Consider the following 12,249-nt stretch of genomic DNA (forward strand, 5'->3'; position numbering starts at 1 on the left):
AGGAATGTGCCTTGATTTCAAAATGGTGTCTCTCTGGCTCTCCTATGCTCCTGCTTCCCTAACACACCCATCAATGAACGAGACATGCCTCCTTTCTGATGATGCCACATCTATGTCCTGAGCCCCCCACTGCCTGATTAGTGGGCAGTGCCATCTTTTCCTGGTGTCTTCTTGCCCAATTGCTCCTTTTTGGAGTCCTCAGTGGGAGGAGAGGGTGGTTCTCATGGGCCCCCTGATTGAACCTGGGGGTATTCACCACCCACCACACACCCCCTAGTGGGCTTGGGGTCCCTGGGGGTTGTGGTGGCTGTCCAAGCTGCCAGCCTCTTGCTGCTGTCCCTGCCCCTCACCACCAGCCTCCAGGGTGTGCCAGTCCAGCTCTTCTCCCGGGGCTTTCTCTAATCATTTTGTCAATTTGTCTTGATTGTGGAGTAGATAAAGGCATTAAGCGTAACAAATTTACATCTTCTTTCTGTTTGGACACTTAAAAGAAATAGCATAATAAGAACAATGCAAGTAAACTCTTTTAGAAGGAGTTGCATTTATGTAATATTGGGAGATGGCGTTTACTAAGATGGTTGTGATATAAACTAGACAAATGTTTTTAAGGATTTTCTTAAAAAAGGGCTCAGGGAGGACATGTTTTGTATCAAATAACTTGATTGGCTTCTGAATCAAAAATGTATTCTCTCTCCACTACTCCAGGTGATCCCCTGGGCATATTCTGTGTAGGCCTGGAACCAGGAGTCCAAGGCATGAGTTTGAAGAAGGCAGGTTTAGAATCGAGGAAAGAAAAACCCTGAGCTGTTAGCTGAGGTGAGAGGGGCGTGATGGCGCAGGGATGGTGTCCAGGGGCAGGGTGGGGTGGGGGCAGGGGCATGTCAGTATCAGAGTTTCCTAGGGAGACACCCAGGTCCCTCCTGGAGAGACCTGGTGAGATCTCAGATAGCAAAGGTTAAATTTGCAAATCACTCAATGAGGAGTCAAAAACAGCAGCTCCTGGGGAGCTAGTGAGACTACAGGATTCATGCTAATGACAGTATTAAGAGTGACGGGAAACGACTTTGTCCTCATCAGTGAAAGTCATCTCCAGACAGCAATAAATTGATTCCTGAATATTGTGTGTGGCATAAATAAATAAATAAATAGGCCAGAAACGAAATTCTAATAGACTTGGTGGAAAGTAATTTGCAAACAAATCTTTCTGCTGCTGGGGATGCAAACGGCATCTGTGGGAGAGGTCGTCAGTGTCTCTAACACATTTCCTAATTACTAATGCTAATTACTTGCATCGTCATTTGCATACCATCTTGAGGCAGAAGCTACGAGGGCCCAGGAGTAGGTTTTTTTCTTTCTTTCTCTTTCTTTCTTTTTTTTTTTTGTTCCTGTTCATTCAGAAATGGAGAATAAAGAATTCTACCTAGGCTGAGTGCTTGTCAATGCACAGGACAGCTGGAACAGATTTTGCCCCTCTCTTTTTAGAGTCTGGCAGCTTCCAGCTCTCAGATCTAAACATAAAGACAACTACAGATATATGTGTGTGTATATATATAATTGGGAAATGGATATAAATGGAGATATATATATGGCCAATTTGCAAGAATTTTTAGGCACTTCCAATTCTGGGAATCCATATGGCCCAGTGGTTAAAAGCCCAGGCCCTGGATTCAGACCCCAACTCAGCCACTTACTAGCTCTGAGATCTACAGAATGGAGTGTTTAAAAAAGAAGAAGAAGAAAAAAAAAACTTTAGACAAATTAAATCTGACAGAGTTTAATTGAGCAAAGAACAACTGATGCATCGGACACCCCCCAGAACTAAAATAAATTCTGAGCAACTCTGTGGCTGCCACATGGTTGGTTAACATTTATGGACAGAAAAAGGCCAGTGACTTATGGAAAACAGAAGTGAGGGACAGAAAACGGCCAGGTTGGCTGTAGCTCCGCGTTGCCTTATTGGAACACAGTGTGAACAGTGGGCGGCCTGTGATGGGCTGAAACTCCGTGATTGGCACAGGAATAGGTTATAGCCTGTTTATATGTCCAATTAGGTTACAGTCCACTATGTACAGAGAAACCCTTAATACAGGGTGTTCCTTCTAAGGTTGCTGTGAAGATCTGCACCGCAGCAGGCCTAGAGCATCAGCAAAGATAGATTCTTGTTCCTGCTAGTGCAAGATAGATGTTGACTCCTGTCCTGAACCAACAGCCATTTCATTTGTCCTGACTAAACTGGTAGTGAGTTCAATGAAGGGTGTGAGTCTTTGCCTAGAGGGGTGAGTGTCAGGCCGGGATTCCTCTGTACTCAGGGCTCCTGGCTTTATGCTACCTCTGCTTATTGTTAGAGATACCCCAAAAGCAGCCACGTTGGTGCATTCCCTGCCCTGCCCACCCTGTGGCCTGCGGAGAATTACAGTCTATGAAAGTAGGTGTGGAGAGACCAGCCCACGTTGGGAGGGCTAGGGGAGAGTGATGAACTTTGGGCCTTCCTAACTGAGAAGAAATCGTCTGCAGAGCTGACTGACAGGTGGCCACCTGGCTGTTTTGGCTTCTTGTTTGTTTTTATTGTTTTTAAAAAAAACAGCAGCAGAAAATTGTAGAGAATTAGATTTCTTTTTTTCCACTTCAGACGATGGAGTATGTGTTTCTCAACCCATCTGCAGAGTTTATACCATGGCAGAAATTTTACCTTGATATTGACTTCTGGCTCTTCCTTTTTGTATTTGACTATCTTTATAGATTTTTAAAGTGAGAGGTGCAATGAAGCCATTGCAAATATAAGCTAGTTTTCCTTTGTTATTCTAACCCCAATATTTAAGCGTTATTTCTCTGGTATTGCAAATATTTTTAAATTTTCTGTATATAAAAACTTCTCTGGCTGGGTGAGACTGCCCCTCCTGGGGTAGCCAATTCTTTTTTTTTTTTTTCTGAGATGGAGACTCCCTCTGTTGCCCAGGCTGGAGTGCAATGGTGCGATCTCAGCTCATGGCAACCTCTGCTCCCGAGTTCAAGCAACTCTCCGGCCTCAGCCTCCTGGGTAGCTGACATTATGGGCACGTGCCACCATGCCTGGCTAATTTTTGTATTTTTTTTTTTAGTAGGGATGGAGTTTCACCATGTTGGTAGGGCTGGTCTCAAACTCCTGACCTAGTGATCCACCCTCCTCGGCCTCCCAAAGTGCTGGGATTACAGGCGTGAGCCACCGCGCCCAGCCAAGGTAGCCAATTCTTAAAGATACTAAGCAGCCCAGCCAGGAGCATGCCTCTGATATGCACCTAACCCTTGCTGAGACTACCTATCTATACTCCCAAATATCCCCGGAGTCAATATTCTTCTGCCTTAATCATCCTAGGACCAGGTACTAGGCAATTAGAGACCCGATAGTGCAAAGTCTGCTACAATTATTCAGACTAGCCAATCCTAAACTAAACTACACACTAAACTGTTCTTGCTGCCCTGCCCTACCCTGCTTTTCCTTCAGAAACCCAAACAAAGACAGTGGCCTAAACCTCATGTCTTCTGCCTCTGACCATCCTGGTGTCTTTCCCATGTGGCCTTATGTGATGTGCTGTGCTTCCTGTCTCTCGAACCTGTGAATATTATATTCACAGGTTATTTTTGTCTCCTCTGTCCCCTTTGGTGGCCACACCTGAATAACCATAAAAGAATACAAAACATCTTTCTTTAAAAGAAAATAAAATGAGTACCTTCCTATTACTAAAATATAGAGTAATTATATCGTAATAATTTGGGACAATTATTTGAGATGTAAAATGTGAGATTTTATTAACAAATTAGATACTTGAAGTGTCTTTGTAGCTTGATAAATTATGATTTGTTGTGTGCTGATGTCTGCTTAAAATGTTAGGTATGAAGTCTTGTAAAGAGTCCCAAAATGAACTTTGCTGCATTTAATTACATGTTGTTGAGTGAATTCATTATGCTATACTCCATGAGAGTTTTCTAATTCCTTTTCCTACAGGTATAATAATAGTCTTTGTATTTCTGGAGTATATTTAAGCTTATATAAATGTTAATCGTCACATGAATCACAAATTCAGTCCATTACTCAACATCACCCTATATTAGTGTTTTATTGCTGCCTATCAAACTGAGCAAACTTAACAGTTTAAAGCATCTCACAGTCTCCATGGGTCAGCAGTCTGGCCATGGCTTAGCTGAATTCACTGCTCAGGGTCTCACAAGCCTACAGTCCAGATGCTAACTGGTCTGTGTTCTCATCTGGGTCCTTGACTGGGGAAGAGTCTGGTTCCATGCCCTCTCCCATTGTTGACAGATTTGATCTTGTGCCCCTAGGGCTGAAGTTGGTTTCTGTTTTGCTGCTGGCTACGAGCAGGGGCTGCTCTCAGGATCTCCAAGAGGGCACTGGAAGTTTCCTGCCATGTGGCTCTCTCCAGAGGCCTCCCACAGCATGGCTGGTACTTCTTCAAGGCCAGCAGGAGAATCTCTTTGCTGAGATACAGTCTCTTCCTTCCTTCCTTCCTTCCTTCCCTCCTTCTTTCCTTCCTTCCTTCCTTTTTCTTTCTTTCTTTCTTTCTCTTTCTTTCTTTCCTTTCTTTCTTTCTTTCTTTCTTTCTTTCTTTCTTTCTTTCTTTCTTTCTTTCTTTCTTTCTCTTTCCTTCCTTCTTTCTTTCTTTCATTTCTCCCCTCCCTCCTTCCTTCCTTCCTTCCTTTCTCTCTCTCTCTTTCTTTCTTTCTCTTTCTTTCTTCCTTTCTCTCTCCCTCCCTCCCTCTCTCTCTTTCTTCCTCCCTTCCTCTCTCTCTCACTCTCTTTCTTTCTTTGCTTCTGACATGAGCCCTGCCTGCATGGTGCTGCTTTAAATTAAAATGTGAGGGGATCCATTTGGGGGTATGGTCAGTTGGGGGAAATAAGAGTTCTGTTTTATATATGTTAAATTTAAATGACTGTGCGACATTCAACTAGAAATATCAACTGTGGATATGTGAGTCTAGACCTCAGAAGAGTGATCCTACCTAGAGGTATAAATCTGGTGTGTTTCAGCATAAAAATGGTATTTAAATCCATGAGAACATTTAAAAATCACCTAGGAAGAGAAAAATAGGTGGAATAGAAATACAAGAAAAGCCCAAGAAAAATATCATTTTTAAAAAGAGAAAGGACCATGACCCAAACCTTAGGAATGCAGTATTCAAAGGTTGGAAAGAGGAGGAGAAGCCACAGAATAAGGTAGAGTCTGAAATAATGTAATCTAATCAAGGAAGTAACAGTCCCTATTTCATCAATTCTGCCATATTCTATTGATGAGAAGAAGTGGTGGTCCTGCCAGCACCCAAAGGGTACAGGGAGACTCAGGGCATGAACACTGTGGGCAGGGATCCTGGGCCATATTAGACTTCTGCCTGCCATTGGCCACATTTTTTGTGATTATGGCCTCATGAGTTAGGGAAATCTAAGAGATTTCAGGTGTGTTCTAATGGGCAGGAAAGAATGACATTTTTATCCCAACTTAGATTTAGAGATTTTGAGAAACTTCACTGCTTGCTTGCTTAATTATTCATGTATTTTTGGAGTAGTAGAATTTGCTAGATTCTTTTTACCTCTTGGGGTACTCATCCTTCATCTATATGAGTGCTGGCTGATATAGGGAGTATAAAAGCCCATTTCCCTTGCCTCCAGGTGGTATAATTCTAAGGCGCATTTTATGTACCAAACACCCTACCACCACCACACACCTGCTCCATGGGTTAAGCCAAGGTTAGACTTTACCTGAGGCCACCTTCTTGTTTTCCTCCTTTCTCTCCCCTTTCCTGCTTCCTCCCTCCCTTACAGGTGTCTCCGAAAGAGACCCCTCCCTATAGATCATGTTGACCTGAATCCCTGACTTGGGCTGTGCTTCCAGGGAATCTGACCTGACCTGAGACATCCACCTTGTCTCAACAGAACTGTCAGATGCTCTAGCGCAACAATCACCTGCCTGGGCTTCAGTACCAGGGAAGTCTAGGTTTGTTTCCTGGCTCTGCCACTTACTAGCTATGTACAACTGTTACTAAATCTCTCAAAGTCACAGTTTCTCTACCAGCAAAATGGATGTAATAAGGGTAAGAAGATTAAAGATAGACGGTTTGTAAAATGCACATCACATAATAAATACTTGAGAAATTTTAGCTATTTTTATTATTTCCAAGAGATGAGTATAATAATAAGATGAGTATATAGATATACTTTTCAAGGAAATATGTCTTTTAAAACTTTAAGCTCCACACGTATGCCTTCTTTCACATCTGAAATAATTATGCAAGCTCTCCAGGCAGTGGCTTTGATTTGTTTTTGATACTTGTGGTAATAGGTTCCATTGGAACATTGCCTCTCTCTGGGCACTGCCCCTGGACCAATGGCTCCCTGTGGCAAGGCTTCTGCAGTTACTAGGTGGCTAAGAGGTCCAAACCTAGTTTCACTTCGGGGACTGGGAGCCAGGTCTGTGAGTTCTTTAGCAACTTGCTTTTGTTCGTTTTGAAGCAAATCAGTCTAGGCATTCCGGGCTTCTTCCAGCTGGGCAGCTCACTCACTGCCCTGAGCAAGGAAAAATTAAAGCTCAGATCACAGTACTCTCCTTCATTAGAGGGTACTCATGTGTGTGGAGGGCAGTGGGAGGGCTCACAGGAGAGAAGGAATGTAAATACTTACCCAGCAGATTTTATTTTATCCCTGTTCCATTATGAATGACCTTATAAGCTGTGGTAAAGATTTTGAATATTACTCTGGGCAATGGGGAGTGATTAAAATGTTTTAAGCAGAGAAATGACATCTCAGATTTGCATTTTAGAAGTCCTTGGCTCCAGTGTGGAGAATAGATTGTGAGGGAAGTGGGAGGCAGGGACAGAAAATACAGAATTGTTTTAGCTAACTGGGAGAAAGGCAACAGGGCCCTGAACTAGGGCAGTGATTCTAGGGATGACTAGAGACTGGGAGAAGATTCTGGAGACAGCTGGGGAGTAGAACCAATGGGATTGGCAATTGATTACATGTAAGGGGGAGAGAGGGATCAAGAATGGGCTACAGGAGGCTGAGGTGAGAGAATCTCTTGAGCCCATGAGTTTGAGGCTGCAGTGAGCTATGATTGCACTGCTGCACTCCAGTCTGAGCGACAGAATGAAGACCCCATATATGGGTTCTGTATTTGACAACTGGCTTGATGATGAGTCATTCATTGAGATGAGGATCATGGTGAAGTTTGTCTATATCAAGCTGTGATGCCAAGTGGACATGTCTGGTAGGCAACTGGCTACAAAGAGGGAGGAGTAACAGGCTCAAGGCAGCAGGAAGAGGAGAGATTCGGGGGTGTAGGAGAATGGCCAGACACACTAGAAAACTACTGGGGAGCACCTCCTTCAGAGCGTGGCCAGACTTCTGTTGAGGCAAGGATGGAAAAGGAACAGTTGCTGAAGCATTTTACAATAGGGGTGGTTTATTAACCACAAAAGGTTTTGTGTGGGTTTTTTCCAGAGAACCTGTGTGTGTGTCTGTGTCCTCATCTCTTCTTATAAGGACCCCAGTCATATTGGTTTTGGGGTCCACTCTAACAACTTCTTTTAACTTAAGTACCTCTTTAGAGGCCCTGTCTTCACAGTCACATTCTGAAGTAGTGGGGATTACCAATTCAAAGTGTGAAATACTTTGGGACAAGCTAAGCAACTTCTCTGTCCCCAGTTTCTTCAACTGGGGTATAATAATAATCAAATGCCATCCTCCTAGGTTTACCTTGGGGATTAAATGAGGTGATAACATGTGTGTGTTTAGAATGGTGCCTGGCACCACGTAAGCATGCGGGCCGGCACACTCATTCATTCGTGATTCCACACATAGTCGTGAAGCTTCTGGACACAGTCGTGAAGCTCCTGGACACGTGTAATCTGCCCTGGAGAATACAAAGGTGAGGTTCAAAATCAAGCAATACTTTAAAAACCAAAGACATCCATGGTGTTGCTAATTGCTGGGTGAGTTGTATTACACTTTACTCAATTAGATTTTTAGAACAGCTTCATTAAGGTATAACTTACATAACTTTTTAAAATCTACAGTTCAATGACTTTTAGGAAATGTAAATGGTTACAGTTGTGTAACCATCATCACAACCCACTGTTAGAAGACTTCCATCACCTCTCAAAATTGCAGTCAATCTCCACTCCCATCCCCATCCAGGCAACCATGGATCTATGGCTTTCTGCTGCCATAGTTTTGCCTTTTCTAGAATTTCACTGAAATGAAATAATACAACATGTAGTCTGGCCTGTCTGGCTTCTTTCCCTTAACACAATGTTTTAGCACGTTGTTGCATGTATTAGTAGTTTGTTCCTTTTTAATTGTTGAGCAATTTCCATCGTAGGGATGTACCCCATTTTGTTTATCCATTCATCAGTATATCTACATTTGTGTTATTTCTGCTTTTTGGCTCCTATGAATGACATTGCTATGAACATCCATGTTGAAACCTTTTTGTGGATGTATGTTTTCATTTCTCTTGGATAGATACCTAGGAGCGAAATTACTGGGTTATATCACAAGTATGTACATAACTTTTTAATGAACTGCCAAACTGTTTTCAAAAGTGACTATGCCAACCCAGCTGGATTTTTAATTCCTTCCAGATATGAAGTGTGCCATGGGTCTTATTTTACGATCAGCTCCCTCACTGCCATTACTCACTCCTGCCTCCCTACAGAGCCCAAGGCCATGCGGTAGGTTTGGAGAAACTCACATTCCTACCAACCAGCTGGATTAACACACTCCCTAGAAACATGTAGCTTGTTTCCTGGGCTGAGCAAGTGTGGTCCTGTCAGAGATGTTTGTGCTCTACAAGAGCATGTGTCGAAGTAATTGATTTAGTGTCTGATGCACTCTCCCTGAAGAGTGGCTGAATTACAAGCTCTCCAAATCCAACTGATCCCTCACATGACTCGTTGGGGACCACAAGGAGGACAGTGGGGCTGGGAGGCTCATTGGGAGTGTTCACTTCTTTCTTTTGCTCCACTATGATAGGAGATTCTGCAACTTTTTTGCAGTTACATCTATTGTTAAAGAAAAAATTATTCAATGACACTTGTGAAAGCACATAAGGAGCCCTCAAGATAGGCATTGGGACCACGGCAATGGGGTTTTGCAGATGGGGAGAGATTAGGTTCAACTCTGAACATGACATATGCAAGTGGGAATTTACAGCCAAGGAGCACGGTGGGGGCAGTGGATGGAAACCACTAAGGGAAATCCTCAGGGTTAAAAGGGATTCTGGCTAAACCAACCTACCAGGATTCTAGCTGAAAACAGGCCAGGGTGATCAGACAGCACCCGGGGGGGTGGAGGATGAGAAACCTGATTAGATATCAAGGGCGATCAGGTATTGAAGGTGTAGCATTTTTGCCAACTGATTTAGTGGGTTCTCTGCTCAAACTGGGTTTTACAAGAAAGTGCTCAGATGGGCCTAGAGGTTTTAGAAGGCTGACTAGTGTTCAGTCAAGCAGAGAGTCTTTGCCACTATCGGCTTGAAAATGGTGAGACCCAAAACACAGAAACATGGCACACGTGGTGGGAGTTATGAGCTCAGAAGGCCAAAGGGAATCCTTCTGGGTGCCCCCAGGAGTCTAGACCCAGAGGACTAGAGTCTGCACCAAGAAAGCCTTTTGCTTGTGTTGCCTTTAGAGAAGAGGAGACCAGCTGGGCAGCACCGCCCCTCCTGGGTTACGTGCAGCTGAGACACTTGTATCCCGGCAGTGAGCCCCGGCCATCTTGATGGCCGATTCCTTGTTCCAGACCGGGGCCTGTTCTCTTGGGATTGTTCTTGCAGGACCCAATATGCACAGTGAAGGAAAAAGTAAGTGTGGAGGAGTGACTGCAAAACCCGCCAGGTCTGATGGGGAGCATGACCCAGAAGCTGAGCCTCAAGGCTCCCAGCACTGTTGTTTCCGGAGTTCCTCTGATGTCCCTGAGCTCCTGGCTCCCCATCTGAAAATGAGGGCGAACATTCCCCTTTCTGCCTCACAGTGTGAAGGTCAGTCACATGGTGTGTGAAAAACCCTTGTCACCTGTAAAGGGGCTCTCAGTGGAAGTGACCTGTGCATTCCTGCAGCCAGAATCAAGCCCGGCACTCCTCAAACCTGCCAGATGATAAGAACCCCTTGGACAGATGCTCACATGACCAGCCTCATCCTTGGAAATGCTCATCAGTGGTTGTGGGTTGAGGCATGGGAATCAGTGCTGAGTAAGTTCCCTAGGGTAATTCTTCTCCTCGGTGGCTGGGGAAACATGGACTATCTGATCGGGTGGTTCTCAGGCTTGTCTGCGATGACCTGGGGGAAGATAACAAAGAGAAAGACTCCATTTTTTATGTTTGACCACTGATGGCTTTCAATCCGTTATCTTTCCCTCCCGCTGGAACCACATCCAGGCAAGTTGATGAGAACATTGATGCCTTCTCCCTGGGTGCCTGAGTGCCCGTGGGGAGTTCAAATCCTGGCCTCTGTGCAGGAACCCTCAACCTGGCTGGCTCACTTTTAACCACAGTAAGAACCAATGCTACTGCCATTGCACCTACTTTATTTTCTCAAGCCCCCTGGACTGTATGGAGCCCAACTTGATCTCCCAAGAAAGTCACATTATGTGACCCTTTTCACAACCTAACAATGGAAGGGACCAGTCTGGGCAGCCTAACCAATTTTGGATGGCGGTTAATCCCACCCTCCATGGGGCACCTGCATGACAGGGGGCTTCAAAGGTCAATGCCTGGCCTGCAGAGTCAGATGTGAGCATCTGGGAGGCAGCCTGGCCATCAGTTTAAAGGTTCCTGGGTGATCCCTGGTGATTGCTGGGTGCAGTGGGGACTGAGGACGTGGGTCTCATTCTCCTCACGTCCCATCCAGTTGACTGTAGCTTTCTCTTAGCTGGCCTTGCCTCAGCCTGGTGAGAGCAAAGTCTGTGCATTTTTTGTTACCTTTCTATTCCCGGATCTTAGCTGAAATGCAGGCGCTGCTTAATTGACAGAAAGAAATGAAAAGGAATTGAATGCTTAGAAACAGTGATCGCATATCAGCCAAGTATACAACAAGAGTCAGGCCTCCCCCACTTTGACACTTTCTCCTCTCTATTGCTATTCATTTTGGGGACCTTTGGGGTAAAACTGCATGTTAAAATGTAAGGAATAAGACTCCAGCTGAGGAATAGGATTTTCACACCTAGAGTTTTTAAAAAATGCAACAGAGTCCGGTATCAAACTCTAAACAGAAACTGGATCGGGGATTCTTTAGAAGGGATTCCTAAAATGGGTGGCCCCAAGCCTAAACGACTTCAGTGGAATCTTCCAGTCTTGCATTCACCGTTACCAGCTGTTTGTAATGGGAGAGATTCAGTGACTCTTATCGGGCACTAGATGGCGATCAGGCATCAATAAGGCCCAACAACCGCCTCGGACCTGGGACCTGGGATTGGCTCCTCCAACCCTGGCCGCCACCCTGGGAAGTGGCCATTGTCATCTTGATTGTCTGTGGGAGACCAGTGAGGCTGGCGGTGGGGATTAGAACTTCACCCAAGGATCACACCCTCCTTCAACCCTTCCTGTGCAGCAGGTTTTACATTCATGTGCAGTGACCGCAGCCGAGGATGTGGGGCACAGCCCGTGAGAGAGACCAGGAGGTCAGCAGTGGTGGGAGTGTTGTGTGCAGTGCAGCCAGGGACCACGGAACGGGTCTCTGTGGCCGCTGGACCCTGCCCCACGGGCCTCAGGGAGGAAGAGCTCTTGAAGGCCGAGAAGGGGCTGTGCTCTAAGCCTGCTGCCCAGGCCTACCCTGCAGCCCCCAGGATGGTTTTCAGGATGCCTCTAATAACACCCATGTCACTCTTACCACTGGCCAAGCACCATTTTGAGCACTTTCCACAGATCAATGTATTTAATCCTCACACAAGCACAATGGGCTGGGTACTACCATCATTGTCATTCTATAGATGAGGAAACTGAGGCACAAGGAAATTACAAAGTTTGTTCAAAGTCATTTGTAGACCAAAAAAGAAAAGAAAGAAAAATTCTGAGCCCTTCAACCATCTAAATGGACCCCTCCTCTCTGCAAGGACATTCCAAAGCTAACCTGAAAAACTAGTTCAGGCCATGATGGGAGGCAGGGGTCAGAGGTCAGACATGCCTCATTATGCCCTCCTCCCTTTTGGAATTACTGATAGAACATTTACAGTGTATTCTCTCTGAAGCCTGCCACCTGGAGGTTTCA

Source organism: Homo sapiens, chromosome 2, assembly GCF_000001405.40.
Source record: "Homo sapiens chromosome 2, GRCh38.p14 Primary Assembly".
Classification (NCBI taxonomy): Eukaryota; Metazoa; Chordata; class Mammalia; order Primates; family Hominidae; genus Homo; species Homo sapiens.